Here is a 21,014-nt window from a genome sequence, read left to right as displayed (position 1 = left end):
GAGGCCTCCTAGTCATGCTTCCTGTTAAGCCTGAAGAACTGTTAATCAATTAAACCTCTTTTCTTCATAAATTACCCAGTCTCAGGTAGTCCTTTATAGCAATGTGAGAATGGACTAATACACCCCTTGTCCAGAATTAGTCACATGACCCCAACTTTATTGCAAGGATGGCTTGGAAATGTAGGGGAACACATGGATATTTGGTGAACACCACTTCTGCCACAGTAGTGGTGGACTTTCAGTGAATTTGATTAATTTTGTCTTACTAGATAAGAGAAATAGCAGTGGAGTTTTGGACTCTAGATGAAAAGACCATTGTTTGACCTCTTTTGGGGGAGTAACTGAATAAATTTGGCACAAGTTTATGTAATCACTTGGAAGCTAAACTATTTTTGTGTGCCTTGCCTGCTTCATGGGATCAAGCAATTTGCCCTGGTGTATGCGGATGTGTTTCATAAGCTGCTAGGTGTGGTGAAAATCTATTCTAGTATCATTATCACCACTATCATCACCATGGTCACCTAAGTGAAAGGGGCAGAAACTGCCCTTGTCTGTGTATGTGACCAGAGGGAAGTAAAGTCCCTGCTTATCCTTCTAGTTCCATGTCTCTCCTTTTTCCTTGAAGTACCATGAACTCCAAACTTGCTGAATTTTTGATGATTTCCCAAACATGCCTGATCTTTCCTGTACCTTTTTACATCCTTCTCCCTCTGCTTATAATGCCTTTTCTCTCCTTTTCTCCTCTCTTTACCCAGATAATACCCACCTGTCTCCCAAAGCTTAATCCCAGAAAGTACCTATGTGTCTCCCAAAGTCTAACCCAAGATTACTCAATCTGTAAAGGTTTTCCTTGATCCCCAATTGTAGGACAGCTTGGGTACCTCCCTACATACATATCTCTTGTGTGAAACTTTGCCTACATATCACTTAACCATTCACACATCTGTCTCCCTGATTAGCTTACAAGCATCTTAAGATTGGGGACTGAGTCTTACTTTTGGTTCAGTAGTACAGGATCAGGACTTGAGGATGCATTAATTCCAAACCCAAATCAAACACTTACTGGTTGTATGGCTTCAGATGACTTATTTCATCTGTTTTTGCCACGGTTTCCTCATCTGTAACATGAGGAAAGCAAAAGGTACTTACTTGGGGTTGTCATGATGATTAAATTAAAAATACATGCAGACTACTTAATAATAGTGCCAAACACATAGTAGAGGCTCAACAAATATTTGGTGAATGAAGGAATAAATGAATGAATGAGTGACTGATCAATTGACTCAGTCTTATGATGGTATTACTTAACAAATAAGCTAACTAACTAAGACTTTGGGGGAAGATTATCTGCTCAAGTTCACACAGCTAGTTTATACTGACTGACTCTAAAACTTGTCCTCTAGCTGCTGTAGGTGGCCTCTAGCAGGTGCTCAGCAAGCAAGTGAAATAAACATCAGAACTGATGAACCAAGACAAGCATGGTGGGAAGGGGAAAAGCTGTAGAAACGTCTTAAGAACACTTCCTAGCTTCTGCTGAATCTTGGTCATTGTGTTTTGTTTTGTTTTGTTTTTGTTTTTGTTTTTTTGCTTGTTGGACTTTTCTGATTCCTTTCCAGCAGGTATAAAAAGAAAACAGCCTGGGCAGCAGGATTGGAAGCCTCTGGGCACAGAGCAGGGATTTTTCATTTCACAGGTCACACACCACACTCAGCAGCACAGCGCACAAAGTCAGTCTTGATTCTTAATGCCAGGAGGAAGCAAAACAGGGCTTGTTGTTCTGCTCTGGGCCTTTGGTCCAGGCTCACTGGAGAGTGATTACACTTTTGTCTTTTGCTGCTTTAAGAGGGGAGGCAAGAAGTCCCAGGACATGAGCCAAACAGTCCATGGGTTGGGTGTGACTCAAACACTGGGCACTCTGAGAGCCACTTTGACAAGCCAGCCTCCTCAGGCACCTGAATGCCAGATCAGCCATGCCCAAGTACCTTGGCTTAAGCTCTGATGCCAAAAGGGATAAAGCAGTACAATATAAATGTAAAACACCCTTGACAGTTTGGCTCACTTTCTTTCCCTGGGAGGCAACTCCTGTAAGTAATAAGCAGACCTTCTTGCCAGTGCCCTGTCTTATACCTATACCTTAGATACCTTAGGCATCTAAGCGGAACCGGAGCTTGAGAAACCAGTGGCAGTTAAGGACAGACAGCAGAGGAACCAGATCTAGTGCTGCTCCAGTATTGACCAGCTGGGGAGCAGGGGTATTGCACATAAGTTCTACACCTCAGTTTCAATGCCTCTAAAAGGAAGTAGAGGATCCCTCATTGACCCTCCTCTCAGGATTGTCAGCAGGACATTAGGAGCACTAAATTGCCCTCCATGAAGTTCTTTGTAAGCTGTTGTAATTTGTGCCCACAGATAACTGTAGAAGATAGGCAAGCATTGACTTCAGACATCGTGCTGTACCTAGTTCCCAATGCCCCACTGGGTTCTCTTTCCAAAACAAAGGTCTCCTCTGTAAAGAAGAGAAGAATGGAGAGAACTCATGAGACTGTTAAGGATTTTACAAGTGCTTTTGTTTTAAATATGTTTCACACATACTTTGTTTTTTCCTGAATTATTCTTTCCAAGAGAGCAGTAGATCTGTACTTGGGTTTTCACCCAGAAGGAAGAAACTAAGGAAACCTTCACATTTCCTTCTAGAAGAAGGGAGAATAAAGGAAATCATTGGTTTCTTAGTAAAAACTACATTGTGTTTTCCTTCTCCCTGTCAAACTCTCCCATAGTTTGCTTGCTTTGTCACAAAGAATAAAAGGGTTTTAGAAGTCTTGGTGTTTCTAAGAGCCTTAGTTCTTGCAACAGTCTCACCACATGAGTAAGGAAAACTCTAAAAAGAAAGGAAGTCCCTCTTTCACAAAAGAAACCTAGACACTCAGCCACACACACAGGCTTATACCAATCATAAAAACGTAAACTGTAAAAACCTCAAAAAGGCAATACCGAAATATGAGTTTAGGAATATGAGTAACATTATGATTGACAAAGCACCAGCACTGGAGTGGGCCCAGCACTTCATTTACATCATCCTGTTTCATTTTTAGAGCAGCCCTAAAATGGGCTTTATTTTTGAACACAGAGACTGAGTAACTGGCCTAAGGCCACACAGTCAAAAATAGAGAAATGGGATTAACACCCACTTGTTTGACTCCTAACCTGTGCTCATCCTTCTAGGCCTTCCTCCCAGCCCTGCACAATCTTTGGGAAGGTGTTCAGCAGCCCTGACACTCCCTGCTTGAGCCATTCTCCATCCCCTGACCCACCTGAGTCATGTGATTCCCAACGGTGGCAGAACTGGGATTCCCTCTACCCTGGGATGACTTCCTGTTGAGTGAGAAAAAAATGTGCTCATTCCATAGTACAATTTGAGTTAACACAATGCCTGTTCATCACATGCTGGCTCCTTTTCTCACCCAGCTGCCAGGTCCTTTGTCTGTTTCCCCTGAAGGAAAATCATCAACTTCCAATGGAGGCACCAACTTCTCTGGACAGTAGCAGAGGCCTTCTGGACATCTGACCAGCAGCACAGCATGCTGGAGCACTCAGCGAGGTGTAGGAAGGTGACTTGGCTGGGGTGGACCACAATCAATTTGGAAAGCCACAGCCCTCAGACATTTACGATAAAGCAGGAGTGATTTGAGAACCTCTTTCCTAGCTACTCATCTTCCCAAGGCAGCTCTATCACCACAGTCACACCCAGCCAGGGAGATAAAAGGCTGACGCTTGCTATCTGCTCCTACACAAATGAGCTACATGGGCATCCTTCATATGGGCTGTTCTTCTCCTGGTCCAGTATAGAAAACAAAGTTAGTGACTGGGGAGAGGGCCGACCATCCTGTAGGGGCAAATGCATTCCCCTTACCGTTTGTGGCCTAGTGCTCCGTCCAGCTTTCTTACAAAGTAAGCATAGTTGGGATTGGGTTTTTGTGCTATGCAGCTTCATCTACTTTGGCAAATAACACCTTGAGGCTTATTTGCAAGGATCTTTCCCAAGTCACAAAGGATAGCAGCACAGTGCAGTGGTTAGAAATGCACGTTTTTTATTATTCCTTTTACACAAGTTCAACTCCCAGTTCTGTTGCTTCTTACTTGGGACCATAGAAAAAGCATCTAAGCTTTCTACACATCGGTATCTTTGTTTACATATGGTGATAATAATAAAACCTGCTTCATAGAGGAGATGCTCTGTGGAATTGCCCAGTATAGGGCTTAGCATAATGAAAGCATTCAGTAAGTGCTACTACTATTGTTTACTATTATTGTCCAGCATTTACTAGAGTCACTAACTAAACCATCTGGTCCCAGTTCTGATATGTTTTTCTCCCAGGAAGGCTTTGCCAACACAGCCCTCCCACCCTAGTCTGGATTGAGTATTCTTCCTTGGTGTATTCCGCAGCCCGTGTTCTTCCCCCATAAGAGTGAAAATCACCCAGGCTTGAAGGAAGGGACTATGTCTGCTTTGTTTATTGTATCTGACATAGAACCTGGCACACAGAATGTGGACACTCAAAACATATTTGTTGGATGAATAAATGAATGACTATAAGGAAAGCTTGAGGTCCTCGCCATATTGAAGAACCCAAGAAACAATCAGGCACCAAAGGCTCTATTAAAGGAAACGGAGGGTACAGTGGCAGCACAGTGATGAGAAGGGGTGGCAGGACCATTACGCATGTCTTCCTACCCCTAAATCGCATCTGTGCCTTTTATATTGTATCATGTTAGATGAGGGTCTCTCCTGCCTGTGAGAGTGGTTAGCTCCCCTTCCACGGTCATCCAAATGGTTTTCTTTCGAGAACTAGCAATTACTTCAGTCCTTCTCTCACGCAATCACAGCAGCTGACCCGAAGCCCCTTGCTCCAGATGCATGGAAAAGCCTGCTAGGCTGGAGAACTTCTTACTTTCTTTCAACCTGTCAAAAATGACAGCTGTGTATCACTTTGGGGAGAGTTGAGACTGGCACAAAACTCATCCCCTGATGTGTCATAATTACATTTCTGGCTTTATTACACTTCTTAGTATGTAGTTTGGGTCTGGACACTAGGATGGGGTGGCCATGCTGATGTGATGTCCTGAGCTGAGAGACCTCAGGGTACATGAGGGCTTTGTGAAGGTCTTTATGATGGAAAAAGTGTAGCGTCCAGATAGATGGATAGCAAGGGAGACCCTACAGAAGTTCATCTGAATCTGTCCTAATACTTCTGAGTCGGATATCCTCTTCTTTCTTGGCATCTCAACTGAGCTTTGCTCTTCTAATTCATCTTAGAAAGTGAAAATAACAATTTCATGTCACTTTTTGTCTACCACATGGGCAAAGCTATTTTTTTAAATGATAATACATAGTGTTTGTAAAGATACGGAAAAAGCAGAAGCCCTTTTAAGCTACTTGAGAAATATAAATTAGCACAGCTATGTGTTCCAATACATTTTTTCATTACTCAGAACTAGCATAAGCCTTTAGCAAAATCATCAATGATAAAACACGCGCTTCCCTTACCCCAGTGCTGGAGACGAGAATTCCTGCAAGGCCAGCTCGGGGTGTTTAGGAGGGGAATGGAAATTATGAGGCAAGTCCCATTGGGGTAAAAGTTCGTTTCTAAAACCCCTACTAAGCCATCTTGTTCATCAACATAAAAGTATCATGATACTCCATGGGTTTAGGATGGAGGCTGAGATAAAATGAGAACATCGAGGATATTAATCACATTTTGCTACATACAAAATTTGGAAGCACAGCCAAATTCACTCAAGCTTGGACTTTAAAATGGGTTTCCTCCCTGCAGGCACTGTGCACAGAATATTTGTTGTTATTTTGTGATCATCAGAGGAACGTGAGTTGTGCATGGTGCATCATTCTGCTGGACACCCCTGCCCCCCAAGTTTATGATCATTTACCTTGAGAGCTAAAATCAGATCGTGGCATTCCACACAAAGGCTATGCTGCTGTAATTAATGCAGAGTCCTCACATGCTGTATGGTATGAATTGTATTGCTAATTATATTATTATGAATGTGGTTTAGAGTATTATTAATGCAGGAAATATCAATACTTAAAAGCCTCACTGGCATGAAGATTTTTACTTCGGTAGGCATGAACTGGCCTGGAAGCATTAAATACTCTCTTGCTTAGAGGCATTAATCTGTATTCCCTTTGAATACATTTAATTAAAAATTTCACCTTTCCAGGAATTGTTGTTTTTATGCAACCCCAAAATGGAATTTTACTGGAGGGCAGGTCTTTTACATAAGCAACCATTTGTTCAGCCAGGGTGACGTCCCTCAGACAAGGTGTCTGGTAACGTTAGGGATATGGTGAAGGAGCTGCCCTTCTCTGTCACAGTCTTGCTTTCTTGAGAGAAGTCTCAGCTTTATAGACAAAAATAAAACCATGTTCAGAGTCAAATGCAGGGACACACCATCCAGGATACAATTTCATTGTGTCATTTGTCATTGCTTTTTTAGGACCCACTTAAGTCCATCTTAATCCACTTTGGAACTCAGCAACCAGGGCTCTGAAGTTTGCGATTTCTTGTATGTGTAGATACTTGCAGATGTGATTTTGCTTTGTATCCTCAGATCCATGAGGTAGCTATTATTATTTCCATTTTTGCAGACATGAATGGTTTTTTAACTTTAGAAGTGGGATCCTTAACCTCAGACTAGAGGTTAATCACATGTTGATAGCACCGAGGCTTGAGGAGAGTCACACAGCTGGTAGGACCTGGCTGGGATTTGAACCTGGGTCTGTCTCTAAAGCCAAGTCCCTTCCTAGTTTCCTTCAGGCTCAGGCCAGTGACTCTTCCATCTAGGGTAACAAGCCAACCCACTGAATGGGACTGAGAGGTTTCCTGGGATCTGGAACTTCTAGTTTTAAAATCTGGGACAGTCCCAAGCAAACTGAAGCAAGTTGGTCACACTAATTCCATCCCCTAACTCCTCATTTTACTCCATCTTTTCAGCTGATTGAGATGTTGAGTTTATTATAGACAGGATATTGGAGTCTGTTGACTGGCTCCCTTTCTAGAAAGTGGTTCCTATGCTAGGAATGTCAGACTGGCACACAGAGAACATTTGCCACAGGGAGGGATAGAAATTCCTTGAAGCAAATATGACCGAAGAAGTCCCACAACAAGGGGCATGGATCAGTTACCACAAGATGCTAATACCACAGTAGATGATTTCCTGCAGCATTGGGTTTGGGGAACCATAATGGTTATTATTCGGAGCAAGGTGTCATGGAGACAAATAAACAGACATGGTCTATTAGGGTAATGGGGGAAAAAAGCAACATTTATCAAGTATTTACCTCTCCAAATAATTTGCAGCTGATTTAAGAAGCTCTTCGTGACCACACCTAAGAGTACCAGACTCTAAGACTTTACTAATAAAGTTGAAAATATGCTAGTGTTAATATAGCTGGCACGAAAGAATAGGAAATAAATGCCTGAAGTTTGTCAGCTTATTAATCATTCCTTTGTAAGCGGTGCTTTTACTTTTGTTGTTGCAACATCTAACCACAGTTCATTGGTTAAAGGCCAAGCTAGCTTTTGCATTGGCATATCACCATGCGCAATGGCTCTGTGCTTCTTGTCTATTTATTAATGCTGCAGACTTCCTACAATTCAGTCTAAAAATAGCATCAGTTCTGTGAAAAATACTGCATTTGTGCTTTAGCCATGGTAAGGAAATATGGAAGGGTATATGTGTGTGTGTTTGTGTGGACCCGAAGAAAACATTGTGGTGCCTAAAATCCATAATTGTTACACTCCTGAAAACCTTACTTTTTTGGCATACCTAAAATTAAAAGAAAAAAACTCAAAGGGAGTAAGTGGAAAGAGAAGGGTGAAGAGAGAGGCTGATTCCCTCCCCCGGCCCAAATCCTAGCTATGCATAATCTCTGTTTATTTTTAGTACACAAAATGATCATGCTAAGCTAGAATGAAACCTCAGAAAAAGCCTTTTATTAGAGGGTTTTATCCTTAAATGAAACTGTGTTCCCTCATCTCAGGTCCTCTGCTACCTTCCTCCATCTGTTTGAACTGCAAAGCATCCATGGAAAAACTATGGGTGGGCATATTTCCTTACACAATGTCTGGAAAAAATATATTACTTTGGGTGCTTTTGGACAGAACATTCCTAGACAAAATTTATTCTAACTGTAAGGTTTTCCTAAACCATATCCCTGGTTTGAAGGTGTCTATCTATCTATTTAGCCATGCCAGCACTCAAGCATGAATGACACAGTGATAATTTCTCTAAATCCATGATTTATTTTGGACCCACAAGAACTTGAACAAGACAATTAAGGTTTGAGAAGCCATGTGAACCTGAGGGAGTTGCCAGGGACACAGGTGAAGAGTGATAGAGGATGTGTTTCATCATCAAAAGGAAGAACAGCAATAGTGATAAGGTCCTATGGCTGCACAAATAGAGAAAGTGAATGGTTTGCCTATCAGGCGTATCAGGTGTTGGGATTTGATGCAGAACTCCTGAATAATATGTTGTTTGCCTTTTGGAGGAATTAAGAGGAAGGAAATGTCATTCTTCACCTTCACACATGATTGTGAAGAGAGATGGTAGAATGAGAAATTGTTGTTTCCTGTTTCTGAAAGATACTGCTGGGAGCAAGGGTGACAGGGAAGTACCAGAGGAACTGGGACAGCCCAAAGTGGCCTGAGAAAAGAGGACTTGGCAACATGCTGTTTAATCAGCCTTGGTATCAGAACTGTGTACCAGACAGAGGGATAACAGTTTTGTAATAGTAGAGCGTAGTGGGAAGAACTTGGGCTGCAGAATCATCCATTTGTTCAATAGGTGTTTATGGAGCACCTGCTGTTTGCTGAGCACCTTCCTGGGTATGGGTCAAAAGAAGTTACACTGAAACCTGGTTCCACTACTTTCTAGCTATGGGTCTGGGGCAAAGCACTTAACCCCTCTAGAAAACACCAATGATGGTCTCTGAAAATAAGGATTCTAAGTCCTAATCTTGTTGGGAGGACAAAATGAGATCATTTATGAATGGTGAGTCACTTAAATCTCTGTAAGCCTTAGGTTGCTTATCTCTAAAATGAGGATAAAATTACCCAAGTCGTAGAGCTATGATGCTGTCTAGATGGAGTAACAGAGTAACTAGTTGTGTGCCAGCCCCCTAAAATAGTAGATGGCATTTTAGGAGGCTGTGTGTTGGCTCAGGTGAATCTATTTCAGAAAGAACAAACTTCAGGAGAGTCTCTGTGAGGATAGATGGGAAACTGTCACTTTGGGAAGGTTCTGTACCTCAAAGAAAGCCTGTATCGTGCAAAAGATTCCAGAAGAAGGGAGGTATATGTTAACCCTTATTTTATGTTTTCAGAAGAAAGGAATATGTATTTTGAATCAGAAATAAACTAGATCCTTTTTCAGATAGTAGGTTCTGCCTCAGATCATGAGGGACATAGTGACAGACTTTGCTTTCAGTGTGCCCTTGGGCAGCTTACTTTCTGCTGCTGGGCAAACTGATATTTGCCCATACATAACAGCATTGGAAAACAGAAAGTCCTGAATGTCATAGGAGAGTTATGGGTTTCAAGAACTTTCCAAGAGCTAGCAAGGAAGTTTGAGACTAGACCCAACTGAAAGCAAATGTCCTATTTGAAAAGGGGAAAGTGTTACCATGTGTCATGGCATGGTGAAAAGGACAAGACCTTGAACAAGGAGAGCAGCCACAATTTCAAGGCTGACACCAAGGCAGCAGTGCGAGGTCAGGCAGACCCTCTTAAACCCAATGAACTTCAGCTGTCCCTACTGTAAAACTGTCCAGGAGTATGCTAACTTTCAAAGTTCTATAATATTAGGAGTCTTATGATATCTGCTTGCTGGTTTATAAATAATTTGGGAAACCGAGACTCCATCAAATGTAGTGGCCCAGAGTGAACTTGTGATTGTGTTTTCTTGCCTTTCTTACTGGAAGGCACCTGGGTTATTTCTGTCAATTAGACCAGCCATTTCCAATGAATATGCTCACCCCAAGCTTCTCACTGCTCCAGAGGGCATAAAGAACACATTCTTTCTCACATCTAGAGACTCAATGCCTGAATGGGCAGCATCAGACAGATGTCAACCATGAAACTTTACACATACACACACAGAAACCAAAAAAAGTGGAGGCTGAAGCCGCAATATATTGCATCAATTTACGGGCTAGAACAGAAACAGATTTTCAAACACCATATACAGATCTTCCGTAAAGGACCCAGGGGACAAGGATGCTCTCAAAGCATGGAAGAATGAAAGGGAAACAATGAGATAGGACACGAGGAAGAAGACAAGGAAGAGAAGCTCCCTATGTGATTAAATGCAGATAGGTGGAGGAAAAATAAAAACAAGCTTCAATCTCTGATCCCTCTCAAAGTTTTGAATACTCTCTGTGGGAAAACACACAATGAAATTAGAAGTGATGCACATTGAAATGACACTGGAGAAGTGGTGGCAGAAGGCAGGGTCCTCAGCTCCGACCCATTTCTGCTGAGGATGAAGGGACATGGGCCCTGCTGCACCTGCAACCTGGCCTGTCAGTGGTTTGCCTCATTCATTCATTCAACATTAATTTGTTTCTCTGCTTGCCTACTAGGATCCCAGGCTCATTAGGGAGGCAGACACATATTCAGCTCATTATACCACAGGATGATAGAGATACATTCCCAAGCATGGGCATAAAAACTAAGATGGGGGTAATTGATTCGGTCTGGGGCCCAAGTTCAAGGAGGACAAATCTATTGAGTCCCAAAAAGCTGCATCCTTGGGCCCGTTACTCATTCCCTCTGGTTTCCCTTTCCTCATCTGTATAGTTAATGGTGCCGGGGGTAAGGCACTGAGCCCAGTGCCTGGTACCCTGTAAACACCAAGTACTGGTAATGATTAGAGGTAGTGATTTATTAAGCTTCTAAAAGAGTTTTATAGTCATCATTTTTTCTCTTCTGGCAACTGTTCCAAGAAAATCCAGGTACGGTTGAAGATTGAAATGTGTGTGGCTTCTTGGGATCTTGGTGTAGACTCTGCTGCTCTGAACTAACTGAGTAGACAGGTGTCATGACACGTGTCTCTCTTGCTGAGTTCCAGAATGATGAAACTGGGCTTTGAACATAATGTCTTCAGCCTCATGAAGCCCCTATACGTCTGTTCTTCGCCCACGTCCCTTACGATTGGCTCACAAACCAGATTTCTTCTCATGAATCACTTTTTTCCTCTTAACATCTTCTGCTCTCCCACCAGGCACTTCTCTATACCTTACTGGTTCTGGTGGCAGGTGGCACTGCACAAGTCTACCAATTTGAAGGCCTGCTGCCCTCCCAGCTTGTGTGCGCCTCTTCAGCAAGGCTGGCCGAAGGCCCTGCCCTCAGGTTGCTTACCGTCAGCCTCTCTCCATTCTCAGGAGGCCCCAAATACTGGTCTACCTCTATTCAAAATCCTCCAATGTCAGCCAACTCTCTCAGACCAAAGGCCAACATCCTCATTATGATGTTTGTAATCCATTAGGTTGGTGCAAAAATGATTGCGGTTTTTGCCATTGCCTTTAATGACAAAAACCTCAATTACCTTATTTAAAATATTTTTTATTTCCATAGGTTTTTGAAGAACGGGTGGTATTTGGTTACATGAGTAAAATTTTTACTGGTGATTTGTGAGATTTTGGTGTACCTACACCTAAGCAGTATACACTGAACCCAGTTTGTAGTCTTTAACCTCTCACCCGCTTCCCTCCCTTTCGCCCTGAGTCCCCAAAGTCCATTGTATCATTCTTATGCCTTTGCATCCTCATAGCTTAGCTCCCACTTACGAGTGAGAACATACAATATTTGGTTTTCCATTCCCAAGTTACTTAACTTAGGATAATAGCCTCCAGTCCCATCCAGGTTGTTGCTAATGCCATTAACTCATTCTTTTTTATGGCTAAGTAGTGTATATATATATATATTACATGTATATATATACACCACAGTTTCTTTTTTTTCACTTTTCCTCCCAGCTTTATTAAGGTATACATGACAAAAATTGGATATGTTTAAGTACACAACTTGATGCTTTGATATATTTATAGTGAAATGATTACTGAAATAAAGATAATTAACATATTCATTACCTCACATAGTTAATCATTTTGTGTGTGTGAGGTAAGAAGACTTAAGATCTACCCTCTTGTAAATTTAAAGTATACAATATAGTATTATTAAATATAGTCACCATTTCTGCTTTTTGGGTTTGACTATATACCACAGTTCTTTATCCACTCTGATTGATGGGCATGTGGGCTGGTTCCACATTTTCGCAATTGCAAATTGTGCTGGTCTAAACATGCGTGTCCAAGTGTCTTTTTCATATAATGACTTACTTTCCTCTGGGTACATGGGACTGCTAGATCAAATGGTGGTTCTACTTTTAGTTCTTTAAGGAATTTCCATACTGTCTTCCATAGTGATTTTACTAGTTTACATTCCCACCAGCAGTGTAAAAGTGTTCCCTTTTCAACCGCATCCACGCCAACATCTATTTTTTTTTTATTTTTTTGATTATGGCCATTCTTCCGGGAGTAAGGTGGCATCGCATTGTAAAAACCTCAATTACTTTTGCACTAACCTAATAGTTCCCCACAATCTCTCTGAACTCATCTTCTCCTGCTGTTTCCCTCATTCTCTTCACTCCAGCTGCACTTCCCTCCTAGAAGTTTCTCAAAGAACTCAAGTCTTCACTCTTGCTCTTCCCTCTGCTCCTGAGAATTCTGCCCCAGCAGAAATGCTGTCCCTCTGCCTGGAATGTGTTCCCCAAATATCTCGCTGTCTAACTTTCTCTGAGATTTGGGGTGCCAGATAAAATACAAGATGCCCAGTTACATTCGAGAACAGATAAATAATAAATAAGTTATTAATAATGTATTACTTTAATAAGTTATTGTTTATTATCTGAAATTCAGATTTAGCTGGACATCTTGTAGTTTTATTTGCTAAATATGGCAACTATATCAGAGTTCTTCACTTAGAAGTTGCCGTTTGGATGCTTATATTGGTTTTCTATTGCTGCTAAGACACATTACTACAAACTTAGTGGCTGGGAACAACATAATTGATCTTGCGGTAGATCAGAAGTCTGAGACAGATCTCATTGCACTGAAGTCAAGGTGTTGGCAGGATTATATTCCTCTCTGGAGGCTCTCAGGGAGAATCTGTTTCCTTGTCTTTCCCAGCTTCTAGAGGTGTACACATTCCTTGGCTCCTGGCACCCTTTTATTTTCAAAGACACAATGTCAGGCCAAGTCCTTCTCATGCTGCCATCTTTCTGATTCTACCTTCTGAATCCTTCTTCCACTTATAAATACCCATGTTAGTCAGGGTTCACCAACAGGATGGATGGATATATAGATGATAGATGATAGACAGATAGATGAGAGAGAATTCATTAGGTGCATTGGCTCATGTGATGACAGAGGCTGAGGAGTTCTGCAGTAGATATCTGCAATCTTCAGCCCCAGGGAAGCTGGTAATGTGACTCATGGCAAGTCTCAAAGCTACAGAGCCAGGGAAGCCAAGGGGGTAATTCTCACTCCCAGACCGAAGGTCTGAGAACCTGAGAGGTGGGGGTCGGGGGAGCACTGCCTAGTGCTAGAATCCAAAGGCCAGAGAACCTGAAGTTCTGATGTCCAAAGGCAGGAGAAGAAGGGTGTCCCAGCTCCAGAAAAGCGAGAGAGAATTCACCTTTCTCTGCCTTTTTGTTCTATCTGGGCCCCCAGCTGATTGTGTGGTGTCTGCTCACATTGACAGCAGATCTTCCCCACTGAGTCCACTAACTCACACACCATTCTCCTCTGGAAACAACCTCTCGGACATACCCAGAAATACCACTTTACCAGGATTTTAGGTATCCCTTAATCCAGTCAAGTTGACACCAAAAATTAACGATAACAGTACCCTTGTCATTATATTGGGACCACCTGGACAATTCAGGCTCCTCTCTGGATCTCAAGGGCAGTTGATTAGCGGCTGTAATTCCCTATGCCATGGAACCTGCTGTAGTCACAATTTCGAACCATTAGAATGTGGATATCTCTGCAGAGCCACTATTCTTTCTATCTCAGTGGCTTTAGCCAAGGTATCCACATTTTCAACCCTCCCAACTCCAACATTTCATATCCCTCTTCCCTACGTTACCTTTTCTCTTTGGTACTTATCACTACCTGACATAGTATATATCTTTTGTTTATTTAATTTATTTATTATCTGACTCCTTCATTAAAATGCAGTTCCCTTAAGAGCAGTGATTTTCTTTTTTCCTGCTTATAGCACCCCCAGCACCTAGAACAAATAAAGAGCACGTAGTACACATTCAGTAAGTAGGTGTTGAATGAATGAATTAGTGAATGAATAATTGAACCACAACCTCTGCCAACTCCATTTTCATACAGTGCTGGCATCATCAACATGAATCTTACTTTTCACCAAACTCCCTTCTATCCCTGGGAGGGGAGAGGGCTGCAGATACAAGCGCACAGTGATGGAATGGCTGGGGAGCAATTGAGCAGCTGAGTGCTGCATTATTGAGAAATCTTTCCTTTCCTTTGCGTCAGAGCAGAGCTGGAGAGCTGTTGCCTGGTAGAAGCTCCCAAGAAAGCAGCCAAGAAGACAGCTGTTCTAAATGCAGCCACACTTGGCATGCCCAGAACCAAGAGAGAGAAGACCACATCCCCACACTGATCAGCAGCCCCGAAATCCTCCCAAACAGCAGCCTTAGGGACACAGCCCCAAACCCCAGCACACAGCTGTCTTTAACAGTCTTGCGGGTACTTATCCCAGGGCAGGAGGCAGGTGTAACCATTCAGTCAATGTTCAGAAGGGATTATAACTGCATGAACAAGATAGTCATGTTCCTTGGAAACTGTCACTGACAGCTCTCAAGGAACATATCCAAATTCCCTTATTTGCAGTATTGCAATTATAAAGCTGCATTTATAAATGTTAGTGTTTAAATATTACCTTACCGTAAGTACCTAGTCTCTCAGGTCCCTGGGAAGAATAACCAATATGCTATAAAAGCTGTATATTTCCAGTGAGGCAAGGATGGATAATTGCAAAGGGTTCCTATGCTGGGGGTCAGTCTCCAAGCAGCCATTGTTTGCCTTTTGGGATATTTGGTGCTTTGTTTCACCAAACACATCAAAATGCTGATGCTTTTCTCATGTTCAGGAAACACGGATGAAAGAGCAATATTGCGTTTGACACATTTCAGTTTAATGTAAACCCTAATGGCATTTGCAGAGGGTTTATCACACACAGAATGTTTTTGCCTACATCATCTGTGCCTCTCAGCTCCTCTATGGGGCAGAAAGTGAGGCTTTGATTTAACCGGATCCCTGCCTGCCTGTCCACTGCAGCTCAGGCTCTCAGCCCCTCCCTCATACTCTCTTTCCACGATGTGGTGGTTTCCAATGCCCTGTTCTCTTGCATTCACACGTATATTTCCTCTGCCTGAGATACCCTCCCTACCTCTATCTTAGGAATCTTCTCTTTCACCTGGCTGACTCCTAATTCATCTTTGTATGTCTCAACTTAAATATCGATTCCTCAGGCAGCCCTTCCTGACACGCTTTGCCCTTCTTTATTATGTGCATCCAGTTTGGAATCCTTGTTTATCACCTGTCTCTCCCTCCAACAGGGAGCCTCAGGGGAGGGAGCTGCAACTGCTGTGTTCACCATTGCATCCCGAGTGCCACTCTCCTTCCTGAGCATATAGAAGGTGCCTGATAAATACTATGTGATACATGCTTGAATAATGTGCCCCAGGTTACTACAGTTATGAAATGGATAAAGCAAGATCTGGTCCATTTGTTTTCCATCCTACCGCATCCCTATTTTCAAGCATTCATTCCTTCCACAAACATCAGACCTATTGCTTGGTAACTTGAAAGATAAATAAAATAAACTCACAGGATACAGCCCAGCCCTCTAATTGTTTATAGTCTAGTGGGGAGCACACTAATAGTTAATTTTAATTGTCAACTTAGCTAGGGCGTAATATTAGTTGCTGCAGGTCTTTCTTACCTATGGTTTTGTTTCCTGCAGTTTCGGTTACCTATGGTCAACTACAGTCAGAAAATATTAAAGAGAAAATTCTAGAAATAAACTATTCATAAGTTTCAAATTGCCATTCTGAGTAGCGTGATGAAACCCCACACTGTCCTTTGTCCCGCCTGGAACATGAATCATCCCTTTGTTCAATGGATACACACTATCTACACTATCCACCCATTAGTCCCTGAGTAGCCTGGATACACACTATCTACACTATCCACCCATTAGTCCCTGAGTAGCCTGGATACACACTATCTACACTATCCACCCATTAGTCCCTGAGTAGCCTGCTTGGTTATCAGATCGACTGTCGCAGTATGGCATTCCAGGTGTTCAAGTAACCATTACTTTAATTAATAATGGTCCCAAAATGTAAGAGTAGTGATGCTGGCCATTCAGATATGTCAGAGAGAGGCCATAAAGTATTTCTTGTAAGTGAAAGGTAAAAGTTCTCGACTTAATGAAGAAAAAGAGTCCTGAAGTGACTAAGATCTACGGTAAGAATGAATCTTCTACCTGTGAAATTGTGAAGAAAGATAAAGAAATTCTTGCTATTTTTGCTGTTGTACCTTAAACTTTATTATAGGTATCTACATATAGGTTAAAAAAAATGGTATATATAGAATTTGGTACTATTGACAGCTTCCAGCCTGTGGAAACTATGGATTTTGGGACTTGGTAACCCATAAAATCACATGAGCCAATTTCTTAAAATAAATATGTACATACATGCATACGTACATATACATACCCCATTGGTACTGTTTCTCTAAAGAATCCTGACTAATATAGTGACAGACAATAGACAGTCAATGTCTGAGGCCATTTAGAGTAATTCTGGGCCACTGGCCTTCATTTTTAGTGCCTTGGCTGAACTGAAGGACAATAATTCGTCAATAAGAATCTTTAAAACTTACCATAAATTTGCTTGTACCTCTCTAGGTGACACACAGCACTCCGCAGATGTTTGTTAATGATTGTGGTGTATTTCCAGGCAGATGATTCCTCTTTCTTTTGTAAACCTCTAACTACTGTGCCTTAGAATTTAGAGATGCTGCTAGAACCCACAGATGGGATATTTGAGGCAATAGCCCAATGGTCAGGACAAGTTATATATACCATAGACAGAGTGACCAATATTTTTTAGACATCCATTGTATCATCAAAATCTAATTTTCAGGTTATGTGTGTGTGTATATTTACATTTCTCTCTATATATACAGAGATACATAGAGTTGTTCCTCAGCATCCATAGGGGATTGGTTGTAGGACCCACAGACACCATAATCCCCCATATAAAATCGTGTATTTGCACATAGCCTTTGTACTTTTGCTCATATATTTTAAATCATCTCCAGATTACTTATAATACCTAATACAATGTAAATGCTAAATAAGTAGTTGTTATACTGCATTGTTTAGGAACTAATGACAAGAAAAAAAGTCTGTACATATTCAGTATTGACACAACCATCCATTATTTTTTCAATATTTTTGACCTGTGGTTGGTTGAATCCACAGACGTGGAACCCCCAGATAAGAAGGGCCAACTGTACATACATACACACACACACACACACACAAACACACACACACGGCGGGGAATATCTATACAATTTTAACAAGTAGGTCGTGCCAAGTTTTAAAGTGTCTTCTGTGAAACCCCTGCCCCCCTCTTGGTAATAGTCCAATCATATTAAACATGTATAGAGCACTTTCCATAAGCCAGAACCTAGGTAAATACCTCAAATAAATGTGCTTGTTTCTGCTAGTTACCCCACTAGTTAGTTACTATTGTTATACCAATCTTGCCGATGGGGAGACTGAAACACCAAGAGATTAAGTCACTTGCCCAAGGTCACCCCCTTATTAAGTAGCTGGAGTTTGAACCGCAGCTGAATTTGCATACCTAGCCACAACACACGAGGCTCCCAGACACCCAAAGTCCTTCATCTTGCACATATTGTCTAATTTCTTATAAACTATGTATGTCAATCAGAGTCCACCCAGGAAAACAAAACCCACACCTCATAATTTAATAGAGGAAATTTAATATAGCATATGCTTATAAAGATGTTGGAGCTGGACAAACAATCACAGGAAGATGAGGAAGCACTAAGATTAGCAATTGCCACTCCTGGGGCTAGAAGAACAAAGGCAGAAGGTGTAGGGTCACCTGGTATCAGCTGGAACTGTAGTGGATGTGTCTGATGACAGCTGCTGAAAAGGCTACCTGAACTACAGAGAAGGCAAGAAATACCCCTCCTTATTTCCTTAAACATAGAGTAGGTTGAATAGGCTCCCTCAAAATTCATATTCCCCTGGAAACTTAGAATGTGACCTTATTTGGGAGTAGAGTCTTTGCAGATGTTATCAGTTAAAGATCTCAGCATGAAATCATTCTGGATTTAGGGTGCACCCTAAATCTAATTACTGGTGTCCTTATAAGAAGAGGAGAGGACACAGACACATAGGGTAAAGGCCATGTGCAGATGGAGGCAGAGATTGGAGTGATGCAGCTACAAGCCAATGAGCCCCAAGGATTGCAGGTGCCTGCCACCAGCAGCTAGGATGAGACATGGCAGGATTCTTCATGGGAGCCTTCAGAGGGAGCTCGGCCCTGCCTACTCCTTGATTTCAGATTTCCAGCCTCCAGAACAGACAGCATACATTCCTGTTGTTTTAAGCCACCCAGTCTGTGGTACCAGGATATGGCAGTCCTAAGAAATGAACACAACCTGCTTCTCTCTAATCTCCCTGAGTACCTCCAACTGGCCAAACCTCGCCTGAAGCCAGTTGGCAAAGACAGCTGGGAAATAATGTGCAGGGGCTTGTCTCCTGCCATGCAGAGCTGGAAGGAAGAGACAGGGCTAAGAGCAAAGAGGCAAATAACCCAAGCATTGTGGAAGGGGGTGCCCAGGCAGGAAGATATGGCAGAGAAATTATGGCTGTAGAATCAGAGGTAAAGAACAGAACAGAAGGGGCCTTGAATGGTCTCTTCATGGGCCTAACGGATGCAGCAGAAATCGTGAGCTTGGCTAGTCTGACAGGGCTGCCCCAGGGTAGGAAAACAGTCCAAGCACTTCTCCCCTGGGTGGGTCAGAAAAGCAGTCAATGACCTCCTTCCCAACAGCCTCAAAAGTGAAATCAGGAAAGATCACTCTGGAAGAAGGATGGTCCCTTCAAGACTGGAGTGACAGCTGCCGCCACTCTCCTCTGCCTGAGAACGGAGGGACACCCTGTCTCCAGGGTTGGACGCGATAACTTTCATGAGTAATCAATTTGCAAACAGACTGAGAAAAGGCAACACATCCCCCGGTTGCATCTTCAGATAAAAAGGAGTATGTTTTGAATTTGACAACCAATCTACCTTTAATCCTATCAGGAAATAAACCTCAATCATAATCTGATGTTTTGGACTTGCATCGCTTCTAAGGGAAAGTGTTTCCTCTATCCCTTGTTCTTCCTCTTCAGAGCAGAGTGAGTTTAGTCATGTGGATGCCTGTTATTCATTCTTATCTGCTTCTTAGTGGGGATTATTTGCTTTTTTGTTTTTTTTTTCTTTTAGATTCCATATATTTTTTCATTATGTGTTTCTTAATTAGAGAGACTCCTTCACTCTTAGATAAGAGTTTGTTTTTTAATCTCCCCCCACCCCCATCATCTGATGTCTTTCTGGTACGGATTTAGCCAGAGGAGTAAATTACTGGCGGTGGGGCGGCGGGGAGGGGAGGGTGAAAAAACCTGGCTGTGGAGTTGAACATTTGGTATTTATCACTGAATTCTAAATATGGGTTATTATCGGAGACGTTAGCTACTAAAATGCCATGTGCCATTGGCCTGATTACTACTCTTTGGGGCATTCATTGTTATCTAGTGACCCTAAGACTTCCAGAGACCATGTGACTTACTTCCCAAAGAAGCTTCTCAGTCCCATAATACATTGAGCGCCTGGCTCAGTGGGGCTGGCCTTTAAGGCCATAGCATTTCTCATCACAACAGTGTTCATCTTTTGCGTGCTGACCTAGTTCCAGGCTTTTGTATTAAGGGTTACTTACTTTGTTTCAAACTGTCAGAGATAAGTAGTATTATCCCCATTTTCTAGATGAGGAAACTGAGATTCAGAGAGGCTAAAATTCTTGGCCAAGAACACATAGCTAGATAATGGCTGACTTGGAGGGCTTGAACCCAGATGAATCTGGTTCCAAAACCTACACCCTTCTGCATCACCTACCTCTCTGTGTAGGTTTTGGAACCAGATTCATCTGGGTTCAAACCCCCAAGTTTGCCATGTATTAGCTCTGTCGATCAATACCATTTGCAAAGAGAAACACAAAAACAGTGAAAGGCTTTGAACTTGGTATCTTAGAAGTCATTTAAGCCACTGATATTCAGAGAGGTAAACAACATAGCAGTTACGAGTTAATAGTACAGGGTTGAAGTCAGAGAAACTTGACTGAACCTCTTCTCTGCCCTTCAAATAGCTGTACTGCCTTGGATACACTGTAGGAACCACATTCTTTATCACTAGTTCTGGATGATTTAATGGGTTTGGGTATGAGTTTTCTCACCTGTAAAAGTGGGCCAAAAGGTGGGGGTGAGGGTTAATGACATAATAATTTAAGGTGCATACTCCAGGGATAGACATAGACTAGGCATTCTGTAGATATTATTAATTAAGTTATGACTCAACAAATATTTGAGTATACCTAATACCGTGTTAAATAAAAAGAAAAGTAAAATATAGCTTGCCGTAGATAAGAGGTGAACGAGGCCACAAGAAAGGAAAATTTCTAATGCAAATATAAACACTGGGATGTGCAAAGATTCACGATAAGTGCTATAGAAGCAAAAGAGTCCCTTGCAGGATAG

At 42.0% G+C, this 21,014-nt stretch overlaps 1 protein-coding gene and 1 long non-coding RNA gene across 25 annotated transcripts in view, besides 1 other annotated feature; one reads left to right on the top strand and one right to left on the bottom strand.

The window, feature by feature from the left end:
* The window catches only part of LOC105374505 (uncharacterized), a 190,382-nt gene that overhangs the window by 11,245 nt on the left and 158,123 nt on the right, over positions 1 to 21,014 (bottom strand). The window contains exons 3-4 of one of the 3 annotated variants that reach the window (XR_007058068.1): positions 3,312 to 3,372; positions 1,064 to 1,118 (exon numbers count right to left, since the gene is read on the bottom strand). This is a non-coding gene — a long non-coding RNA (uncharacterized LOC105374505). Of the gene's footprint in view, positions 1 to 1,063; positions 20,298 to 21,014 lie in introns of those variants that run through there. The other 2 variants (XR_007058069.1, XR_007058067.1) reach the window with 2 other exon arrangements.
* Positions 1 to 21,014, top strand: part of LDB2 (LIM domain binding 2) — a 397,105-nt gene that overhangs the window by 358,644 nt on the left and 17,447 nt on the right. The window lies entirely within an intron of this gene.
* Positions 10,158 to 10,327: an enhancer, noted in NCBI's record as "experimental_75724 CRE fragment used in MPRA reporter constructs". NCBI's record gives its function as "activates a minimal promoter by MPRAs in K562 erythroleukemia cells, with activity observed for the non-introgressed 4:16531383 variant allele {active_cell/tissue: K562}" and the evidence as "EXISTENCE:reporter gene assay evidence [ECO:0000049][PMID:34662402]".

Source organism: Homo sapiens, chromosome 4, assembly GCF_000001405.40.
Source record: "Homo sapiens chromosome 4, GRCh38.p14 Primary Assembly".
Taxonomy (NCBI): domain Eukaryota; kingdom Metazoa; phylum Chordata; class Mammalia; order Primates; family Hominidae; genus Homo; species Homo sapiens.
The sequence above is the reverse complement of the archived record's forward strand: the minus strand, read 5'-3'. Positions and strand labels throughout refer to the sequence as shown.